Raw genomic sequence first — 23,403 nt, forward strand, 5'->3', positions numbered from 1 at the left:
AAGAAAATATTTACTATGAGGAAACAGCAGCACTGACATACCTTGGATCAAAGTTTCCTTAAAAGAGATGCCATACCACAAAAAAAGACTAAAGAATTTATCTCTTATTGAGCATTCTCCACCCCACCTACTACTCCTCTACCCCAAGCAGCTTCTTTTCTGCTATAAAGTTATTAGTTCAGAAACCGTGCAAATAGGTTAACACAGTATATCCTTTTTGTAGTAAAATTAAAACTTCCTTTAAAGTACTTAAAGAAAAGTACTTTCTGGGTCTACCTTCAATTAATAAGATTACCATTTTCTGAACTTTCTTCTTGTTGCCCAGGCTGGAGTGCAATGGCGTGATCTCAGCTCACTGCAACCTCCACCTCCCTGGTTCAAGTGATTCTCCTGTCTCAGCCTCCCAAGTAGCTCGGATTACAGGCATGTGCCACCATACCCAGCTAATTTTTTTGTATTTAGTAGAGATGCGGTTTCACCATGTTAGTCAGTCTTGTCGCGAACTCCTGACCTCAGGTGATCCACCTGCCTCGGCCTCTCAAAGTGCTGGGATTTCAGGCATGCACCACCGCGCCTGGCCCGTTTCCTGAACTTTCCATATCTTCAATATTTACTGTGGACCAGGCACTGTGTTAAAACCTTATCTCAATCTTTAGAACAATCCTATGAAGTCAGTACTATGATTATCCTCATTTTGCTCTTGAAAATATTAAAGGTCAGAGACAGAGGTTAACAAAGTCTCACAGTTAATGTGTGGCAGAGTTGAGTTGAAACCCAGGGCTGTCAGACTTGGCATTGAGAAAGAAAACTTACATAGTGAAGCTATCAATAAAGACCTGTCAAAAAGCTGTGATAAAGAATTCAACTCAACTATACTAATCGATTTGCACCACTGTGGAAATTATTTTTACGGAGTTCAGTAACTGCATTGATAGTAAGGACTTCTAATATATTCTTACTAAGTCTTTGAGAATAGTTGTGAAACTGATAACTAGGCTATGTGTTCCAAGTGGCAATGAGAGTTTTTGACAGGATACATATTGTTACTTTTTGAGATGGGAGTTTTGCTCTTGTCGCCCAGGCTGGAGTGCAAAGGCGCGATCTCAGCTCACTGCAACCTCCGCCTCCTGGGTTGAAGTGATTCTCCTGCCTCAGCCTCTGGAGTAGCTGGGATTACAGGCGTGCGCCACCACACCCAGCTAATTTTTGTATTATTAGTAGAGACGGGGTTTTACCATGTTGGCCAGGCTGGTCTCGAACTCCTGCCCTCAGGTGATTCACCTGCCTTGGCCTCCCAAAGTGCTCGGATTACAGGCGTGAGCCACCGCACCTGGCCAAGATTTAATTTTTAAGATTAAAAAATTGGATAGATTAAGAGTTTTGGGGCAGAAAAGAAAAGAAGCATGTGATGGTTGTTTGTCAATGAAACTTCTGAGAAACAAGAAAGGAGGACTGCCTATGATTGTATCTAAATGCTACAACAAATTTGACTGACAAGAGGGGCTTAGGAGACCCCGCACAGAAGAGGTTTTAATGAAAAGGAAGTGAAACACCAAGCTCACATAAATTTTTAATAAACTTTTTTGTGTCTATGTCATATTTCATAATGTTTTTCCTAAATGCTTAACCTAGGAAACACATGTGTGCACACCCATGCCAAACACACAAATGAATTTAACAGTGTGGTTTATGAAATGAAAGCAATAATAGTTTGACTCTTCAGAACCTCTTCATTGTGGCCTATGTCAAGCTCTCTAATCTTTTCTCCTCAATGGTAGGCCATGGTTAAGGGACAGATGATAAAGTACAAGGTTTTCAATTGCTAACTGCCAAATTTTCATAGGTTATAGTATTACTCAAAAAGTTGTTTTGTCTCATTTCTTCAAATTTTGAAATAACTTGCTTTGCTGACTCATCTGACTATATTTTTAATGAGGACTGGCTTTATTAGCACTTTTAGAAAAAAAGCTCTGCACTCCACACTGAAAGTCAAATCAAATAGATAGTTAATTATTTGTAGCGTGGAGTAATGTATGCTCAGTCTCTCCTCACAACGGAGCCAAAGGTCACAAACATTTACAGAAAACCTACTTATGTCCCAGGTACTCTGCTAGGTACTTTCCTAACTTGTCTAAAGTCACAGCATAGGCTGGGTATGGTGGCTCATGCCTGTATTCCAGCACTTTGACAGGACGAGGCGGGCAGATCACCTGAGCCCAGGAGTTCGAGACCAGCCTGGGCAACATGACAAAACCCTACCTCTACAAAAATACAAAAATTAGCTGGGTGTGGTGGTGTGTGCCTGTAGTCCCAGCTGCTCGGGAGGCTGAGGCAGGAGGATCACTTGAGCCCAGGAGGTAGGGTTTGCAGTGAGCCGAGATTGTGCCACTGCACTCCAGCCTGGGCCACAGAGCGAGACCCTGTCTCAAAAAAAAAAAAAAAAAAAAAGTCACAACAGATAAGTCATAGAGCTGGGATTCAAATTCAGGTCTGTCTGAATATAGAGTATTTTCTGCTACATTATCAGTTACTGAGGGTAATTGAAAAATTTAACACTTATCATGGACCAGGCACTATGTTAAAACATTATCTCATTAATCTTTACAATGATCCTATTTAAAAATCTGTAGCTGTAAAAGAATTTTATACAACATTTATACAAAAATCATCAAGATTCTTCATGGCAAGTTAAAATGTTTTTAAATAGTTTGAGGTCATCTTGATAGTCATTCCACTACCCATTTCTCAGTCTCTTCAGCAAAATTTCCTTTCACTTATAGCTAGCTACCTGACCATCCTACACTAAATAAGCAGATAATTTAATCTTCCAACTTCTTGAATTTGTGTGTTCTTTTATGTACATATGTTGGCTGACTGGAACAGAAGGAGGCAGGGGGTATATACGAGCAAGTATGGTTTATTACGGACAAATGGTAGAAAAATGTTACTAATATCCATAGATAAGTTCCTTAAGTCATGTAGAGAGACTGTTATTAAAAGTTTGCTGCATTTTTCTATTGAATCAAGAACTAGCTACCAGTTACAGTGCCTTCTAAACACACAGTTAGCTTTGCTTTATCAATAACCAAATAATAAACTAGGTCCCAATGGTTTTGTCCACATCTAGATTGTTCAGGTGATCAGGAACTCTTTTATTTGTGTGCTTTAGCTTTTAGTTCTTGGTTATATCTATAAAGAAAACAGAAAGAAAAATAATCATCAATAATAATAGACAAATTTATGGTAAGGAGAGAATGGGAAGCATACTCCATTTCTTCTTTCTTGGTGGTCAAGTAGCTATACAGTTGTAAACAGAATCTTCCCGGAGGGCTTACAGGTAGAAACAGGCAGAAAGGAAAGGATTCAAAGAGTTCATTTGCATCTGGATTTTGTTTCAGATAATAAGAGCACAACTGCCAAAAACTTTTTTTTTTTTTTTTTGAGATGGAGTCTCACTCTGTCGCCCAGGCTGGAGTGTAGTGGTGTGATCTCGGCTCGCTGCAAGCTCTGCCTCCCGGGTTCACGCCATTCTCCTGCCTCAGCCCCCCGAGTAGCTGGGACTACAGGCGCCCGCCACCACTTCTGGCTAATTTTTTGTATTTTTAGTAGAGATGGTGTTTCACCGTGTTAGCCAGGATGGTCTCGATCTCCTGACCTTGTGGTCTGCCTGCCTCGGCCTCCCAAAGTGCTGGGATTACAGGAGTGAGCCACCATGCCCGGCCTGCCAAAAACTTTTAACAGCTTAGCTGACATATAGTTTCCTGTGCAAAAGTATTATTTTAATAAAAATATTCTCATTCTGGAATTCTACAAGAACGTGACAAACTTGTGAACATATGTATAAAATTTAGTAAAATGTGGTCACCTAGAATTTTAAAATTTATACTCGCAAAGCACCTTTCCTAAGAATAAGATCAACAGGTAAAGTAAAATATACTAAAGTAATCACTAAAGTAAAATATACTTCTAACCACTAAGGTAAAATATACTTCTGTGATGCAGGCAGGCTATTGGGTTAACAGCCTGTAAACACTTAAGTTCACAAACGCTAAGGACCATTTCCTCAATTCTCAATCCAAAGAAGTAACCACAGAGCCATAGTCTTTCCTTCCCTTCTACCATACCTTGGGCTTCATTTACTATTCCTCCTAGCTTATAATGGAATGGAGAGTAGTATAAAAGCATAAGAAGGAACTTATTCCATGAAGCCAACCATACCTCCTAGGTTTCTCAAAAGATCCTGATTTCAAATATTTGATCATAATGTCATTATCATAAATCACTGACAATATTAACTACTGAGTAAATAGTTTAAAAATTTCCAGTGCTCATGGAACACTTTCCAATGAAAGCAAAGACCTCACTCTACGTATCATTTCCAATACTACATAACAATACACTTAAGTTCCAATTTATTATATACAATTGAAAGTGATAAAAGGTTTACATAAGAAATTAATAAATCATAAACTGTATATGTTGTCTTAATAAAAGAGATTATGTGAGATGGTTAACCATCTAAATGATGCACAGTTAAATCTAAAAACTAGGTAACATACTGCTTAACTGATTTTAGTCAGTTAACTAGTTAACTGGTTAACTTATTTGTAAACCCCTAGACTTTTCTAGAAATGTTAAATTTCTACTTTAGATACTTCTTGTCTTAGCATTATATATGAATCTTTTAAAAAAATTAGTGCCATCTCCAGCCTGGGCAACAGAGCGAGACCCCGTCTCAAAAAAAAAAAAAATTAGTGCCATCTAAGTAGCTTTTGCAACAGTTTTAAAAATATCTCTGGTAGGCTTACCTCCAAATACGAAAAAGCTGAGAGGCTCCTGCTGCCCCCACAAAGAAATTAACAGCAAACAGACTCCAATTTTTTGGAATAATTACAAGTGAGTATCTTGACCAAATAAACCCTGTTGAAACAAAATGTTACTTTAAAAAGAATACATACTGCTTCAATAACTTCAGTGAATACTTAATATTGAGTAAAGTAATTACAACAATAATGTAGGATGAGGGACAAAGAAATGCTATACTCTGAATTTTCAATGTTTCTGTAACTTAGTGTCACAGAAAATACTCAATTCTTACATGAAAGAGGAATCTTTAAAGTGACTATTAACTGTAATTTTCTTCCCACTTATAAAAATATGTTCATGGCAAAAACCTGAAAAGCAAAAGCCCATTCAGATACTTATTCTTTCTGTGACTCCTCCATCCATAACTTAATAACTTCCTAGACATAATACTGTTAATTCCTTTGTGTGTGGGTGTATTTCAAACACTAAGCCACTAAATAAACTGATATAAAAGAAAACAAAAATCATTTATGTTCTACAAGAAACACAGAAGATATTTATTTAATTTACCTGTAGCCATCAAAACAGCAGATTGAGCTGTGCTAAGTTTTTCTGCAGGTCTGGCCATATCAGCCAATCCAGCACACACCAACCCCTACACATTAACGCATAGAAAGAAAAAAAGTATCACAAATGTGGAGTAATAGTTTTAACTTTAAATCAAGCACAAGACATTTTTGAGATTTCCGTAAGTTAGCAGCTATAATTTTAGTGTCCATTCATTAAGAAAATGTAGATTACAACAAAAAAAAAGCACAATGAATTAAAAAACTGCTTTTTGAACTAATTTTATTTTGTTAGGTACACTAAGCAGTCTCACATATCTGAAAGTCAGTAGTACATATATAGATAAGATGTATATGTATGCATTACACGTACATATATATTTTGGGTTTTTTTTGGTCTACCTATTTCACATATGAATTTATATACTCTTTATATATGTCAGGAACCACTAACCACTAGCATGGAAGATACCTAAAAGCTGTTAAGGTCATTTGTATAGATTCTTCCTTTGATGTTTTCTGCCAATGTTATCATTTTTAAATTAAATTAAATTTTAGATTTGGGGTATATGTGCAGGTTTGTTACATGGGTATATTGTGTGATGCTGAGGTTTGGGCTTCTAATGAATTATTTTTTAAAAGTATAAATATCAGAAAAACTTATAATTTTAGTTTTTTGGTTAGATCATTTTTTTTTTTTTAGACAGTCTCACTCTGTCACCCAGGTTAGAGAGCAATGGTGCGATCTAGGCTCACTGCAACCTCCACCTCCCAGTTTCAAGCAATTCTCATGCCTCAGCCCCCAAGTAGCTGGAATTACAGGCGTGTGCCAATATGCCTGGCTAATTTTTGTATTTTTAATAGAGACGGGGTTTCACCATGTTGGCCAGGCTGGTCTCAAACTCCTGACCGCAGGTGATCCGCCCGCCTCAACCTCCCAAAGTGCTGGGATTACAGGTGTGAGCCACCATGCCCGGCCTTGGCTGTTACGCCATTTTTCTTTAACATCAGCATATACATGGCCATTTCTCTTCTGTGTTTTTAACACTGTCTCTATTGCACTCATGCGTTTTTGCTCCCACCAGATGAGCTGTATTTTTACCAAGTCACTATGTTTGTCCCCAATCTATTTATGCCAGTTTTACTTGTTAATGTAATTTACATGATTTAATAAATTGTTTTTTTTTAAAAAAACTAAGCTGGAAATTATATAGGATGCACTGTAGTGTAATTTATCCAGGATAGAAAATGTGGAGCTCAGAAATCCATACACAAATAAAAGATTTAGCTTTAAAAAAGACTGATTGTCAATGAATATATATTTATATCCTTTAGGTTAAAATAAAATATTTAAGGTACATAGGTTTTTGTTTTTAGGATTATCCACTTTGACCTTTATGATTAGTTATGTGGTTTCAACTAAAGTGGTTACAAAGGACTCTACTACAGTTATATGTTTGAAGGCATATGGTCTGAGAGTCTTCATGTTATAGAACATATGTGGCTTGCAGAAGCAACTGTTATGTGTCATGTATAGAATTCTACAGATTAATTATCAAATACTCTGGGATAGTAAAACACAGTAAGAGGTATATAAGGTAAGTATCTAATAGAAGAAGTCTCCCCACCAGAGAACAAAACACAGAAGTTTCTATTGCTATGCTGTCATCTGGAGACTATGTATGATTTCAACATGTACTTAAAATAGATGTTCTTAAAGAGACAGATAGTCAAGAAGGCATTTATGAGTATATAATGCTGTCAATATCTCACAACAGTAATGAACCAGTTCAAATAAACCCCAAAGCTATTGATAAAATCAATAAACTCCTAAACTGTGGTAAATTTGAGATCAAAGAGGCCCCTAAATTTATTGTGAATAGATGAAATCACTCAAACTCTTTTAATGATTGAATACTTCAGCAATCAATTCCACTATAAAGATATATTATTACTATGTAATTTTAAGTGTAGGTAGGGAGAGAAGAAGGAAATGGTAATGTAACTTCCATTAGTATAGGGGGTTTTAGGATCTTTTCTCAATATGTAGATATGAAAAAAAAAACCTGCTCCCTAGATCTCTGTAAAATACAGCTCCCGAATGACTTATATTCTAATCTTGTCACTTTATAGTTGAAGAGACAAAATGACAAAGAGACTAAACTTGCCCAAGGCCATAAGATTGAGTCATAGCCAATTCCAACTCTAACATTCTCAACCACTTGAATTTACAACTGAGTTTCTGAATTGTTCTAACCATTTTAAAAGTACATTTAAGAGAATTACAACAGCCCATCACTCAACAACAACAAAAAACACCTTGATTAAATTAAAAAACAGGCAAAGGACTTGAATAAATATTTCTCCAAAGAATATACACAACTGACCAATAAGTACAATAAGTATATGTTCAGCATGACTAATCATTAGGGAAGTGCAAATAAAAACAAAGATATCTAACACCCATTAGGTGCCTATCATAAAAACAAAAACAAAAATGCTCCCCCATCAAAAGTAACAAGTGTTGGTGAGGATGTGGAGAAATTAGAACACTTATGAATTGCTGGTAGAAATGTAAAATAATGTAGTTGCTGAGGAAAACAAAAAATATTAAGCAGAATTATCATATGATCTAGCAATTCAACTTCTGGGTGTATACTAAGAAGAATTAAAAGTATTGACTTAAACAGATTCTTGTACATCAATGTTCATGGTAGCATTATTCACAACAGCAAAAATGTGGAAGCAAACCAATTGTCCAATCAACATATAGAAGAATAAACAAAATGTGGTAAATACATACAATGGAATGCTATTCAGCATTAAAAAGAAAGGAAAGTGACACATGTGACAACGTTAATGTACCTTGTGGACATTATGCTAGGGGAAATAAGCCAACTACAAAAAGACAAATACATTTTGATTCCATTTACATGAGGTACTTAGAGTAGTGAAATTCATAGAGACAGAAGGTAGAATGGTGGTTGCCAGGGACTGGGAGAAGGAGAATGGGGAATTATGGGTACAGAGACTTGCTTTTACAAGATAAAAAGGGTTCTGGAGATTGGTTAACAATGATGTAAATGTACTTAACGCTACTGAACTGTACACTTTGAAAATGGTTCAGATAGTAAGTTTTATATGTATTTTACCACATTAAAAAAAAAAAAGCCTACAGACCAGTGGTTTTCAAACTTTAGAGGGCATTAGAGAATCATCCGAAGAGGTTATGAAAACAGAGCTCACTGGACTCCACATCTAGAGTTTCAGATTTAGTAGGTCTGTGATGGGGCCTAACAAGTTCTCAAATGATGCCACTGCAGGTCCAGAGAGATGACACTTTGAGAAGCACAGTTATAGACCCAAACTGGCCCTTTCAACATAAAATCAATGATTTGCTACAAACAGCCACCACAATTGTTTCTTTTCAGCTAAGTAAGAACTTTAAGAAAGAAAACTTTGGGGAAGAGTAAAAGCACTGGGCTTGGAGTCAGAAGTCCTAGGTTCTCTCATTTACCAAATGCTAATATTTATATTCGAATAAATCCATCTACTTTTTGAGAGTAACTTTCCTCACCTATATTTTGGTGATAGTACCTTCAGTTCTCATACTAAATTAATAATAAAAGTTAACTTGGGGGTTCTAACTAGCTTAATGTTTTACTTAGTAATAACATTTTAGAATGAAATTTCATGTCCATGTGGTGCACAATTGTAAGTTTTTTGATAACAAGTATGTTCCCAGAAGGCCTCTTATCTAAAGAGTTCAGAAAAACTAAAGTAGATAGTTGCTTTATGTAGAAAACGATATGTCTGAGAATATTTGCCATGAAATCATCTAGAGGCATACCAAGAATACTCTAAAGTATATCCTTCATAAAAGTTACTTCAAATTAGTAAATTCCTATTAAGGAATTTGTCTTTCAGTAGCTTCCGTAAAAACTCAAGACTTACCCATTTCATAATTGGAGCCCAGAAGAAAACTGTTCTGGGACCTGAAAAAAAAAAGAAAAGAAAAATTCAGGAATAAACCAAATATATTATACACGTCTTTTAACAGCTGTCACCAAATTTTAAAAACCAAAGGATTTATCAACCTATTTTTAACCACTTTTACTATGCTTTTTGCATACTTTGTATTTCAGTTAACATTTAGAGAGGCACCACAGTATCACAGTACAGTTGACCCTTGAATAACACAGGTTTGAACTGATAGGTTCAACTGTATGCAAATTTTTTTCAGTAAATATACTGCCATATAAAAATATTTTAGGGAACCTTGATTCTAATGTACTTTCATACTAGTTTTACACTCAAGTAACACTCTCATCCCAAATGAAAATGAACCCAGTGATAACACCCCATTTTTGTGCATTTTGGCTGAATTACTATAACAAATAGTTGGGTAATCTTAACATTAAGCAGCAAAATTTGAAAAATGTAAAAATGGCAGTTGCTTCCCTCCAATTTTTGCTTAGTATGCAGGTTTTGAAAAGTATCACCAGATAGTGCAAACTACTTGCCTTTAGCCTTAAGTGATGGTAATGCTACACATTCTGTCTTCCACAATTTAACATAGTCCTTGATATTTTTGTCCCTCTCGAATTCACAGTATTCTTACAGCAAAATTCATTAATTCAATGTCATTTTAAAATCTACCACAGTACATTTTACATATTTTACTCCAGTTATTTGTAAATCTATGTACCTATCAAGATTATGACTTTCTCGAAGCTAGTGGCTCAATACTATTCATACTTGTACCCCTATTACCTAATAGAATGTAGAATAATAAATAAAAAGGAAAGTTAGCCAGTAGAGTTGGAAGCAGTTTATACTAACATTTATTACCCTAATATATATGTATGTGTATATATAATATACAGATATACATATACACATATATATATATATATATATATATATATATATACATATACATATACACACACATATATATATACACATACAAACAACGTTTTTTTTTTTTGGTTTTTTTTTTGGTTTTTTTTGTTTTTTTTTGAGACAGAGTCTCACTCTGTTGCCCAGGCTGGAGTGCAATGGCACAATCTCGGCTCACTGCAACCTCCACCTCCCGGGTTCAAGTGATTCTCTTGCCTTAGCCTCCCAAGTAGCTGGGATTACAGGCGCCTGCCACCACACCCGGCTAATTTTTTTGTATCTTTAATAGAGACAGGGTTTCACCATGTTGGCCAGGCTGGTCTCAAACTCCTGACCTTGTGATCTGCCCGCCTCAGCCTCCCAAAATGCTGGGATTACAGGCGTGAGCCACCGTGCCCGGCCACAAATAACTTTTAAAGTACTTTAAAATCATAAGTTGTTTTTATCAGCCTGATACTTAAATATTGATAAGTCTGTCTTATGCTTTTAATAGTTTTAAAATATGTTTGCTGATTTTCTAATTTAATCCTAAAGTCCTACAGCAATCTAAGTTTCATTTTCTCATTCTTCAGAGAAGCTGGGTATCATTAGAATAATTCTTCAAACACTAGAAAGAAGATCACGGCACAAACCCTGTGGTTCCTTGTGGGACTACTCAGCCCATTATAATGTTAAACTTTATTTTCTCACATACATCTGGTATCTAACCATTTTTACATTTTCTTGTGTACGTTCGAATTTTCCGTATTTTAAGTTGTAGAATAAATCTAAAAACAGTGCTGAAACAGCTGGTGAGAGAATTTAAACTATCAAGGAGTTCTAAATTTTGATGTTCTTACAACTGAGTGAAAAACCTATCTATATTCAGTTTCTGTTATCCAGTTCTCTAAGCAGTATTGTTCTGGGCACAGCCACCACACACATAGAACTCTAGCCACATCTTTTTCTCTCTACAAGATAGAAAATAATTTAGTTTCTTCTTTGGTTAAGGTTGGAATTGAAGACATTTTTACGAAGGGAAAAAGGGGAATATAAAAGAAAACATGAAGCCACTGAGTTTCAGAATATATAATCCTAATTTAACTAAATATTAGCCAAGTCAGCGGTTCTCAACCAGGAGTGTCCCCCCAGGGGCATTTTTAGTTGCCCCAACTGTGGTGCCCCAACTGCTGCAGATGCTGCTGCTGCTGCCGCTGCTGCTGCCGTCTAGTGGGTAGAGGCCTGGGATGCTGTTAAACATCCTCCAATGCGCAGGACAGCCGCTCCCAGAAAGTAGAGGGTTAAGAAATCCTGGCCTAGGGCGACTGATAAGCTAGGCAAACATTCAACTAGTTTCATGCTATTTTATGGCTCTTCAGTTCATGCTGTCCCTTCTCAATATCCTGCTTAGTCTTTACCTAACTCCTATCCATCAGAAACTCATCTCAGGTTGCATCTCCTCAAGGAAGCCTTAAAAAACAAACAAAAAAACTCCAGGTTAGGCTAAATTGCTCCTTCTCTTAACTACCAAAGCAGCCTGTATATTCTTCTATCATTTTCTGTTAAAATGATTATTTATGCATCTGTCACATTAACCCGAAGACAAGGTCCTTTTCTTAATCTTCCTTGACAAATAATAGGTATGTGCCAACAGAACTGAATTGGATCCACCATGTTCAGGATAGATGCTAATCAAAGATATTCAAACTTTCTGTCTGACCCAGATTTGCCTCGACACTGCTTCATCCTCAAGGCTGGAATTTGCTGTTTTCTCATCTCTAGGGACATCAGGTTCCCTTTATGCCAAGGATATATTAGATTTCACTCATTAGTTACTCTACTCTTAGACCACAGCTCTCTTCCCCTGAGTCTGATGCCATAATGCATTAATCCTATAAGTCAGTCTTCTCAAACTCTCTGGAAATTTAGGGTGAGATTCTGGGATTCCTATCATTACACCTGGTTCATTTTTCTTTGTCATACACAGTGTCTCTGGCTCATACACAGTATCAATTACTAAGTTTAGTTTTTATCCTCGCATGGAGTTTCGCTTCATCAATCAAGAGTCAGTCCATGTATTGTTTTAGTCTCTGGCTGAATGGGTGTTCATTTTTACTCTGAACTCTTCAGCAGACTTCTCTTGTTCTATTTGAAAGCTGAAGTTTCTGTCACCCCAAAATTGTTTTCTGAGTAAAGCCTCTAGATTCTGGTTTCAAGCTTAAATGGCTGACAGGCTTAAATGGTTGATCCTTTGGGGTTAATAGTCGATCTTTTCAGTAGGTTTGCCTGGTAACTAATTTACTAAACTGCCTAGAGCTAGGTAATAGTTTTACAATATTAACAACAGCCCTTCCCCACCAAACCAAACAACTGAAAAAACTTCAAACATCAAATTATGGTTGCTAGAACCTGGACCAAGAGAGGTATTTTAGTGAGTGAATAATTTTAAACTATGAAAACAAGCTCTAATTTTAGTTTAACAACTGCTATGTACTAAACAGAAAAATAGCAGTAGCCAATACATAAGGCCTTCTAAATTGCTAATTTTTCTGAGATACTAAAAGATGTGGACAAGTGACAAAAAAATCAGTTTAATATCTATAACTGCAAACAGTGTTTTCTTAACTGTTAAAAAAAAAGGTCGGCCGGGCGCGGTGGCTCATGCCTGTAATCCCAGCACTTTGTGAGGCCGAGATGGGCGGATCACGAGGTCAGAAGATCGAGACCATCCTGGCTAACACGGTGAAACCCTGTCTCTACTAAAAATACAAAAAATTAGCTGCGCGTGGTGGCAGGCGGCTGTAGTCCCAGCTACTCGGGAGGCTGAGGCAGGAGAATGGCGTGAAGCCGGGAGGTGGAGCTTGCAGTGAGCCGAGATCGCACCACTGCACTCCAGAAAAAAAAAAAAAAAAGTCACACAATGGGTTAACAAAATTTTAAAGAAAACTTAACCCTTTCATTGTAGCTAATTAACATTCAATTAACATTTCTTAGCTTTTTTTTCCTGTAAGAGTAAATAATATGTCAAATAAAGCTAGACAGGTAAATTTAGACATATATAAAACAGATACAGAGGCTGTCTTCCAGAAAACAGCAATTGATCAACAGTGGATATGGTAGCGAAAAAACATTCCAACTTACTTCAACATTTCTAAACATAAAGTTTTGACAAAACAAAGCATTTAGAAATAGGTATCACTCAAATAGTGACAATACAATGTCACATGTGTCATTCTAGACCTGGAAAACACAGGCTTATGTTCTGTACAATGACACAGCTATTCTCATAGGAGAGCATAAAAATAGATAATTATGACACGTGAAGTGATTATAATACCTTAATATTAGAATAAGCAGAAGTATAAACTAACAGATACCTGGCTAACATCCATTATGATAAATGAAATAACTTGATTAGGTGGAAAATTTGAACTGCTGAAAATATACTGAAGAAAAATCTCCTCATAAGACATTAATTTATAGCCCAAGATGAAAGAAATTGTCCACATCAAACATACTATATATTCTTTTAGAAAAAGAATTAATACATTTTCATCTTGTTTCTTTGAACAGTACTACTGGATGTTGAAGAAGGCCTCCAATGCTGACAATTTAGAAACATTAAACAAGTATTTAAAATGTCTATACATTTAGGCCGGGCGTGGTGGCTCATGCCTGTAATCCCAGCCGTTTGGGAGGCGGAGGTGGGCGGATCACCAGAGGTGGGGAGTTTGAGACTAGCCTGACCAACATGGAGAAACCCCATCTCTACTAAAAATACAAAATTAGCCGGGCGTGGTGGTGCATGCCTGTAATCCCAGCTACTTGGGAAGGTTGAGGCAGGGGAATCGCTAGAACCCAGGAGGCAGAGGTTGCAGTGAGCCGAGATTGCACCATTGCACTCCAGCCTGGGCAATAAGAGCGAAACTCCGTCTCGAAAAAAGAAAAAAAAAAGTCTACACATTTTAAACTATGAACTATGTTCAAGAATGAAAAATACTGACTATAAGTTATTTTGTGTTTTATTGCCTTATTTTTAAAGTGAAACTCATGTTTTTAAATTCTAACTTTTCATAGAATTTGAGAAATTCTACAAGTGAATATCATAAGCAAATAATAACAGACATAAATTTTCAAATAAACAAATTTAGTTGCCTTGAACTTCAATGAACCTATTAATAAACTGACATAAACTTACTTCCTAATTTCCTTATTTGAGAGAAATTACTGTTAATAAAATATTATATGAATCCTACCCAGAAAGTAGGCCACCTATCGTATATATGATTCCCTCCCTAAGTAAAGACTAACTTTTTGGAACAGAATAGGTAATTTTTACTCTCAAGCACATATACACACTTACAAATACTGGATTGAGGTATTCACTATATCCCTCTGTGAAAAATAAAGTTTCTTACTGAATGCTAAGAGGTCATAAAATCACTACATTTCCCTACCTCTTCCCATCCCTTTCATGCCACTCCTTTATGGTTTGTTACTTTTTAACACCCCTCTTAATTCCTTACATTACACAAGTTCACCTGTTTGCTATCATGTGACAAACTAGATACAAATCCTTAGAATATGTAAAGGTTAATCTTTGACATGGATACTGACGGCCAAAAAATCATTCATTTTTATTTGTGCCAAAGCTAGTTCTGATTTAACACTAAGAACATGACTAAGCTACCATTTTAGAGCCATATAATTTTAATATTTTCCACAATGCCTTGGAAATAGCTATCACTAAAATAGTACCCAAAACATCATGGGTAGATAATGTTTTTAAAAATGTTGACTGAAAATACACTTTGGTTTGAAATTCCAGAGTAAAGAACAGGTAAAGAGACTAAAATAGCTAAGATGCATTGTAGGGATGATACGTTTTAAATTTACTTATTTCTTCAGGTACAAAGAATCAGTTACTTTTAGATTTAGAAAGACTGTTGAAATCATCTACTGTAGGCACTCATAAATCAGGCAAATGAGGCCCAGTAAACAAATTACTTGTTTAAAATAAATAATCCAACAAGGATAAAAAACTAGATCCCTAAATCCTAATCTAACAATAATTATATGACTTTCCCCAATGAAATCTGAGTTTCCTGAAGGTTCTGAATGTAAGAAAAGTCCTAAGAGAATACCAAATTATAGATTATTAGCTGGAAAAGACTTTAAGGAAAGTCCAAGCTCCCTCATTTTTATAAATGAAAAAGATGAGGCACTTACAAGTTAAGTAATTTGTCTTACACTCAGGAGAGTTCTGGATAGAGCAACGACTAGAACACAGTTTCTTTGATCCTAGTCCTCTTTCTACTGTACCATACAGCACTTTAAACATATTTCATTCTCTGTTATAAGCAAAATTAATATTTTTACATGACCTGGAAATGATAAACTATTTATAGCTTAGGGCTTTCTTCTCCTTTAGCACATCTGCATAAACAGTTCTAATTTCTTAAAGTTAGTTTAAAAGCAGGATAGCACACAAAAAATATGTTAAGTGTTGAACAACTGCATCAAGGATGATAATCTGCTCTGTTGCCCAGGCTGGATTGAGTGCAGTGGCACGATCTTGGCTCACTGCAACCTCCATCTTCTGGGTTCAAGCAATTCTCCTGCCTCACCCTCCAGAGTAGCTGGGATTACAGGTGTGCACCACCATGCCCAGCTAAATTTCGTATTTTTAGTAGAGACAGGGTATCACCATGTTGGCCAGGCTGGTCTCGAACTCCTGATTTCAGGTGATCCACACGCCTCGGCCTCCCAAAGTGCTGGGATTACAGGTGTGAGCTACCGCGCCCAGCTGATATTCCTTTTTATGAATTCTTCTGAGAATACAAACTCTGTGTGGGTGGGTTTCGTTATTTTATCCACTGCTTTATCCTGAGTGCCAGAACAGTGTCTAATATACAATAGGCCCTCAATAAATATTGAATAATTCAACCTTCTTGGTAGCTGATTGTTTGAAGATATTCTATTTTTCACCAATATTTTACAATTGTATTTGAAATTCTAATCTTACATCTATTTTAGTTATCTCTTAACTTTAAATAAGTTATTACTTTAAAAAATAATATATGTATATTTAGTGTATTTAAACTTAATATATTAAATATACACTTAAGAATATATATGGACATATATTAATATCTTAGACTGGCATTAAGATTCTTCACTGACAATCTGTGGCAACAAAATAAGTTCTAACAGAGATGCTAAAGAACTGTGTAATTCAAACTATGTAGGTACGTACACTCATTATTTGATCCATATTAGATTTTATTTACATATAATAGAACAATATATATTTGCACTAAGTTGTATTTAACCATCTATTGTAACATCAATTCTCTTAGCATTGAATATAAAATTTTTATGATACAGATATTTCCTTATAAACACTGATAACATTGGTTCATTTAGTTTATTTTTATTTAAAAAGAAATATCCTCTAGGTCTTTAAAATTAAACAAGCTAATTATCTAGGAAAAATGCAAATATTATTCTTATTTAGACTTTAAAGTAACTTTTCCCATGAGTCTTCAGAGGGAACCCATGTAATGTTAAGAATGATATTCTCAGCACCAGCACATTAAGCACTGCAACAAGTTTCACAGAACTATTTTTTCAAAAGCTCTTCCATGTAAGCCAAAATGTAATTCAGTAAAAGGAGAGCTATAATGCGTTAAAATGATATGGTTCAGATAGCTGTTTTTGGGACTAACTTCACCAAAGGATAGTTTTTAGACTCTTTAGAGCTGTGGTCTTCCAGCTCCTCTTGAACATATGCCCTATCAGTAAAAAACAATTTGAGTATACATCCTGTTTATAAATCATTTATATATTTATAAATTATATAGAATTACTGCAATAATATATTTTTGTATTACAGAATGTATACACAATGAAAAATTTAAGTGGATGAAATAACAGTAAACGTTACTGGAAGTTCTATAATTTTCTTCCTACATTCCAGTGTTTCATTGTGTGCACCCCTTGGGATGACTTACCCCATTTTGGAACTCACAAATACAAATAAATGACACTCCTCCACTGATAATTTTTTTGTTTTCCTTAACTAAGCTTTTAAGAAAACATTGGGCCGGGTGTGGTTGCTCACACCTGTAATCCCAGCACTTTGGGAGGCCAAGGCAGGTGGATCACCTGAGGTCAGGAGTTTGAGACCAGCCTGGCCAACATGGGGAAACCCCATCTCTACTAAAAACACAAAAATTAGCTGAGCATGGTGGCACATGCCTGTAATCCCAGCTACTCAGGAGGCTGAGGCAGGAGAATCGCTTGAACCCAGGAGGCCAAGGTTGCAGTGAGCCCAGATCACACCACTGCACTCCAACCTAGGGAACAGAGCAAGACTCTGTCTCAAAAAAAAAAAAAAAAAAAGAAAAGAAAAGAAAAGAAAAAATAACACTGGGCAACATAACTTCAAGATTATTTCTTTGACAAACACTGGAGTACAGCTATGCAACTGGCTAGGGTGGAGTCACATATTTTTATAGTCAGGTGGGGGATAATGCGGGGACTGACATCCTTTTTTGTGAGTTGAGGAACTTGACCAGGACACACATTTGGCTAGAACTCTATTCCTTCTCTACAGTGGCAGATCATGACATGCCAGCAAAAACACATAGGCAAATGGATAATGAGAGCCTCAAAATTCTGGCTCACAGGTCAGAGATGCAATACTGTAACTAAAATATGTATCTATACATAAAAACACATTAGTTTTTTTTTTTTTTTTTGAGACAGAACCTCGCTCTGTTGCCAGGCTGGAGTGCAATGGCACGATCTTGGCTAACTGCAACCTCCACCTCCTGGTTTCAAGTGATTCTCCCGCCTCAGCCTCCCAAGTAGCTGAGATTACTGGCACCCGCCACTACACCCGGCTAATTTTTGTATTTTAGTAGAGATAGGGTTTCATCATGTTGGTCAGGCTGGTCTCAAACTCCTGACCTCAGGTGATCCACCCACCTCAGCCTCCCAAAGTGCTGGGATTACAGGTGTGAGCCACCGTGCCTGGCTAAAAACACATTCTTGTTACCTGTCGAGACATACAGTGTCAGTGATAAAATTAAATCTCAAAAATCTAGAATCAGCAATGTATGATTTCCAACTGTTAATATTGTAGCATTTCATATCATTTAATAAACTCCTTGTAGGTGAATCTAGAAAAATGTTTCAATGACAATTCAATAACAAATACTGTTAGGCAAAATAGTATGCAAAATCCTTGAATATTCACTCTGGATAAACTCTTAAGACAATAATCAGTGTTTCCTTAGATTTTATTCAATACTCATCAGTCAACGTATTTTTCAAGCTCCTCCATTTCTACACTGGTGTGCCTCCAACTTGTCGATCATAAATAATTCTGCTGTAATAGATATCCTTACTCTGTATGTTGCTCAAATTTTAGAACTGACAGTTATTGAGAGTCTAAGTGCAAACGCTGTGCTACATGTTTTAGAGACATTAGATCATCTGATTTTCACAACAATCCTGAAATGATTACAATTACTCCCATTTTATAGATGAGATAACTAAGGCAGGAATTTAGGGTCAAGGTCACACAGCCAAGACTGAAACGTAGGTCTATTTCCCTTCAAAGCCTAGCTCCTTTTACTACACTGAAAAAGGGGGTTAAAATAACTGAACGAATCCAAGGATTTTCAGGTGAAATGCACATCCTGCAAGTGAAAGGTAATCCCTCTTCATTCTGAAAGCTGAGTAGTATTTTAAGCAGTAATTACAGGTGGCTAAAAACTAAAGGCTTGGAAAGGATCAAGGTAAGACTACCCTCCAATTTTGTATTATTTTAAGTAGTTTAAAATTACTCTTACTCTGTCATGCCCTTATCCTACAGCTAAAACACAAAGCTTATGAAGGTCAGGGTTGACTTCACATTCAGTTGACTCTGTAAAGCCCAGATTATTACAAAAAGCATAGCTCAACCCTCCTTCCCGAAAATCTTTGCCACAAAACACAGCATAATTCCAAAAAAATTGAATGTTAAAAGAACTAAAAGGCAAATAAACAAAAACTTTTTAAATCAGTAACAAACTGTCCTTAATGATCAGTTTTATAATGGGTTCAATGTTGCAGTAAATAATATTAAGGGTTAGAGTATAATCCAGATGTTCAATTCATTCCATTATCAAACTGGAAATCAGATTTAGTAACCAGTTCAGACTCCAGAGAGCTGGTTCATAATCAGATAATGGGGGAACTAGACAACTTTCCTAATGATACCAACTACAGAATACAGATTTTAACTATGTAGGAGAATAAAAGCCACTTTTCGGGTAGCACTTCAGTCTTTCAATTTACAACACATTTTCTAGTTTGCCAAGTCTTAGGCTTGAAACAGACCTCAGAATATATCTGATGTTAGCCCCTAGCAAATAAGTATTATTACAACTCACTTTATAGAAGAGGTAACAGAATTCTAGATCTTTAATAAAGGGATTGGAATCTTTCAGTTTCTTACAGTTTTTTTTTTCAACCACAAGAACACAGTTTTCCAGTAGGCAAAGAGAGATGTAACGTTTACTGAGCATTTACAAAGAGTCAAGCACATATGTTATCTGTCATTCTCATAGACCGCGTATTACACAAACAGAGATCTAGGCTTTTGCTCAAGGTCACAACTATAAGTGGTAGAAGAGAATGATATCCAGGTCTGTCCACACAAAAAGCTCTGGGTAGAGCTTGTTCAACAATTTCATAAATAAGGATAGACTTAAAAAAACACACTGGACCTATGGGATGAGAAATGACACTGACTCAAGCCTGGATGAAGTAAAGCATGCAGTTTGGGGGAGGGCTCAGTCTGCAGGCCTCTGCCAGCAGCAGCTGAAGAAAGTGACCTTTACTCCAAACCCTACAGTGCGACAAACCACCCATCCAGCTCTGCCTAGAGTGGGTTAATATGCCACAATTCGAAAAGAGAAAGAGAATGAGTGTTTCATGGTGGCCCCAGACAGTTTGGTGGCCGCAGAAGTTGAGAAGGCTCAAATCTGGAGATCAGGTTTGGGTTGGAGTCGTGCGTAAGGGAGCGGATGTCACATAGGTGGGGAAGGGAGCTGACTTGAGATACGTTGGCTTAGGAAGAGATGTTGCAGGAGAGAGGGTGAAATGCACAGGCTAGGAGAGTAGACGGCTTCACTTGAAGGGAAGGGATTGGGGCTGTGGATGCCTCTAGAGGCAGTTGTCAGAGGGCCTCTAAAAGGTCCATTTTAGAGGAAGCGAGAAGGAAGGTCTCGATAAGGAGCCATTCAGGGTCCATTACCTGCTGGATGGTTGTACAACGGCCTCAATTTCTCGGGCAGCATCAGCTCCACTTTATCGAGGAGCCGGTGGTAGGTGGCCCGCAGGCCTCGGGCACCGGCGGCCGACATCGCCGCCGAGGGATCGTTGGCAGCCGGGTGGGAGCGTGGCTGTGTTCTCGTCCCTGGCTGACAACGAAGGGGAGCTAGTCACTTTTCCTGCCACGACGACTCGCGTCCGCCTCTCGCCTGGAGTACCCTTCCCGCGGCTTTCCCTGCCCGCTGTGAACCGAAAAGCTGCGGCCCGCGCCCCGCGAAGGTTGAGGGGGCGGAGGCTGCCGACTGCCAGCCCCCGGTCCGCCTCCGGCCCCCGGCAGGAGAGAGGGAGGAGCCATGGCAACAGGTGCCAAAATAATCACCTCACCAAGTCTGCGCTGCGCCCTGCTGGCAGCGCGCTTGCGCAGGCCGAGCTGCCCGCCATGATTGGCCCGCCCCGAGGCGCGGGCGGGGTCGAGCGGAAACCTCCTCCTTCTCCCCATGCCCTCGAGGCCATGTTGGAGAAGGGAAAGTGAAGCTGCGCTGGTTCTACTGCCCTTTCACTTTGATTAAGCAGGCCCGTAGTTAAAATGGGTTTTTGGGCCTTCAGTGCCTAAAGATGATGCCGCACAATTCTCTTGCTTCTTTTCACTGGAGACTCGTGAGCGAGAGACTACAGAATTGAGTAGCTTCTCTCTCTACTCGTCTTTTATCCCTAGCGACTTAAGGATCTGGTTAGAGTGGCCCGAATGCATTCTTCCAGGGTGAGGGCAGCCGCAGCACACACCAGCCTCAGTCCCCAGGGTGGTCGTCATCTCGCGAGAAAGGGTTGGCGGGGAGGGTATCCAGGACGAGGAGAGGGAGGAGTCGCCATCGCCTCCGCCTCCGCCTCCTCCTGTTGGAGGGGGGCTGAGGGAGGAGACTGTTGCTGATCTTTGGATGTTCTGGTTAGTCTAAGAAGGAGAGTATGAGGCGAGCTCCGGCCCGGGTGCGGCCGGGCTTCAGGGGCCCAGGCGCCGCTGCTGCCACCGCCATCTAACGCTGCGCCCTGGAGGCCCGGCGCGCGGATGGTGCCGGTGCGGCTCGGGTGTTGAAACGGGTGTCCCCTCCCCCTCCTCCCCTCCCCCACGCGGTGGTCTCCCCTCCCACCCGGCTCAGGCAGAGCCATGTCTCGGGGTGGCTCCTACCCACACCTGTTGTGGGACGTGAGGAAAAGGTCCCTCGGGCTGGAGGACCCGTCCCGGCTGCGGAGTCGCTACCTGGGTGAGCGGGGGCCCCGGGGCGGAGGCGCTGAGGTCGCCGCCTAGAGTGGGGGAGGGGGCACGCTGCCGGGTCTGTTGGAGGTGGGACGGCGTCTCGGTGGGGGCGCCCGGAGACTCTGGGGTGTTGGGTGGGGCCTTGGTTGCCGAATTCCGTGCCGGTGCCTCCCCCAGTCAAGCCCCCTGTGCATGCTGCCAGCCGCCGCCCTTGCTGGGTTTTTCTCGGAGGGCCGGGCCGTGGGCAGAAGGTACTGGCTTGTAAAGGTGTTGGGGTCGCTGATGGGTTGGGACTCGGGAGACTTGCGGAACCTCCAGGAGCTGCCGCGTTTAGAGCAAAAGTTAGCTCTTTTGCTCTTTTCCAGCGCGCTTTCCCCGCTCAGCCGAAGAACCTAAGTTGTTGCCCACCCTCTCCTTCAATCTCCAGAGGGTTTAGGTGTCGGCTGCGACGCGTTGACCACCCTCAGGGACTTCACGCTCCAGACAGAATCCGTGTAAACTGTTTTTGCGGCGCTGAGCCAAAACCTAAAAGTGATAGCTGAGCTCTCCCCACCCCCGCGCGCTCTCCCAGTTCCACTCTGCTCTTCAGTTCGTTTTGACCGCTTAAAGGTGGTGTAGGGTTTCACGTTCCTCTTCCCACCCCTGGAAAACACACTTGGCATTTACAGTTTCGTAGTTAAGCTTTCTAAAAACAACCTTCAGTACTTGGGGGAACAGTATTCCACTTTTTTCGTTTTGCATAACATTTTTTTTTTGAGGATTCTAGGTCACGCCCGAGTCAACTAAAAAGTTTGGTTTCTTAAAAATGGACGTACTTAGTAAAGGTCTTTTTTGTTTCTTCCTGTATACTCTTCATTACTCTTTCTTTCTATTTGGAGATACGGCAAACAACATCATAAAATTTTTTTCTTTCCAGTTTTGCCACTTGCTAGTTAAAAAGTGTTTGTTGCTCTCATTTGTTTTTGATTTCAAGTAAAGAGAAGAAAATGAAATCTCATTACAACCAACAGTTCTGGTTTGTAAATTATTTAAGAAAAGTTAGCATGCAATTTTTTAATTCTTTTTAGTGTCTCAAGTAAAATACGAATACATTTTGTTTATAAAAACTCAATAAAAATGAAGCAAAAATCCCTTTGATCCCTCCCATTCAATTTCACTCCGCCACCCTTAGAAATAATATTTTCTGTTTTCTGAATATTCTTCCAGACCTTTTTGTTTGCATTCTTACAAGTACATATGTACATGTACAAATGCTGGGGTGTGTGTGTGTTTGTGTGTGTATGAGAGAGACACCTGAGTGCATGGTGTCATATTGTAAACATTGTTTTCACTTCTCCACATTTTGGAGATCTTTCCATGGCAGTAAAAATAGATTGATTCTGTCTTTTAAATTATTACATAGTAGGTAACATTATGAAGTACCATAGGGTACTCAACCTTTCTTCTTTAAGTAGACGTTCGCCCTTACAGCATTTTAATGAACATCATTCTACAAGCTTCTGTGCATTTGTTGTAGGATAAGTACCTAGAGTGGTGATTAATCATTTTAAAATTGAACATAGCTGGAGTCTG

The 23,403-nt window shown here is 38.6% G+C and overlaps 2 protein-coding genes across 28 annotated transcripts in view, besides 5 other annotated features; one reads left to right on the forward strand and one right to left on the reverse strand.

Annotated features, from left to right (window-relative positions):
- DCAF6 (DDB1 and CUL4 associated factor 6) overlaps nucleotides 1-23,403 on the forward strand; it is a 212,261-nt gene that overhangs the window by 51,595 nt on the left and 137,263 nt on the right. For 11 of the 24 annotated variants that reach the window (NR_146229.2, NR_146230.2, NM_001198956.2 and 8 more), the window contains exon 1: nucleotides 21,513-21,838. The exons of 1 other annotated variant lie outside the window; for it this stretch is intronic. Coding sequence is in view for 7 of the 23 variants with exons in the window: in NM_001198956.2 (NP_001185885.1) it covers nucleotides 21,742-21,838 (97 nt within the window). In the remaining 16 variants the exon portion in view is untranslated. Of the gene's footprint in view, nucleotides 1-21,068; nucleotides 21,340-21,512; nucleotides 21,839-21,908; nucleotides 22,083-23,403 lie in introns of those variants that run through there. 12 more of the 24 variants (NR_146228.2, XM_047425193.1, NM_001349775.2 and 9 more) reach the window with 5 other exon arrangements.
- Nucleotides 1,505-21,902, reverse strand: MPC2 (mitochondrial pyruvate carrier 2). Of its 4 annotated transcripts, none has more exons than NM_001143674.4 (6): nucleotides 21,769-21,902; nucleotides 20,563-20,728; nucleotides 9,327-9,367; nucleotides 5,377-5,461; nucleotides 4,809-4,920; nucleotides 1,505-3,189 (listed from the first exon to the last, which is right to left on the reverse strand). In NM_001143674.4, the coding sequence occupies exons 2-6, from the start codon at nucleotides 20,669-20,671 to the stop codon at nucleotides 3,153-3,155; spliced, it is 384 nt and encodes a 127-aa protein (NP_001137146.1). In that variant the 5' UTR covers nucleotides 20,672-20,728; nucleotides 21,769-21,902; the 3' UTR covers nucleotides 1,505-3,152. The 4 variants fall into 4 exon arrangements, 3 of the variants coding, with proteins under 3 accessions (NP_001137146.1, NP_056230.1, XP_006711329.1); NM_015415.3 differs by having other exon boundaries at nucleotides 21,835-21,899; XM_006711266.4 differs by lacking the exon at nucleotides 21,769-21,902 and adding an exon at nucleotides 21,363-21,644.
- Nucleotides 20,529-20,638: an enhancer, noted in NCBI's record as "active region_2054". NCBI's record gives its function as "activates an Ori minimal core promoter by ATAC-STARR-seq in GM12878 lymphoblastoid cells {active_cell/tissue: GM12878}" and the evidence as "EXISTENCE:reporter gene assay evidence [ECO:0000049][PMID:35858748]".
- Nucleotides 20,809-20,978: a silencer, noted in NCBI's record as "silent region_1539". NCBI's record gives its function as "represses an Ori minimal core promoter by ATAC-STARR-seq in GM12878 lymphoblastoid cells {active_cell/tissue: GM12878}" and the evidence as "EXISTENCE:reporter gene assay evidence [ECO:0000049][PMID:35858748]".
- Nucleotides 21,089-21,398: an enhancer, noted in NCBI's record as "active region_2055". NCBI's record gives its function as "activates an Ori minimal core promoter by ATAC-STARR-seq in GM12878 lymphoblastoid cells {active_cell/tissue: GM12878}" and the evidence as "EXISTENCE:reporter gene assay evidence [ECO:0000049][PMID:35858748]".
- Nucleotides 21,579-21,648: a silencer, noted in NCBI's record as "silent region_1540". NCBI's record gives its function as "represses an Ori minimal core promoter by ATAC-STARR-seq in GM12878 lymphoblastoid cells {active_cell/tissue: GM12878}" and the evidence as "EXISTENCE:reporter gene assay evidence [ECO:0000049][PMID:35858748]".
- Nucleotides 21,679-21,918: a silencer, noted in NCBI's record as "silent region_1541". NCBI's record gives its function as "represses an Ori minimal core promoter by ATAC-STARR-seq in GM12878 lymphoblastoid cells {active_cell/tissue: GM12878}" and the evidence as "EXISTENCE:reporter gene assay evidence [ECO:0000049][PMID:35858748]".

The sequence above is a fragment of the Homo sapiens genome, chromosome 1 (genome assembly GCF_000001405.40).
Source record: "Homo sapiens chromosome 1, GRCh38.p14 Primary Assembly".
Classification (NCBI taxonomy): domain Eukaryota; kingdom Metazoa; phylum Chordata; class Mammalia; order Primates; family Hominidae; genus Homo; species Homo sapiens.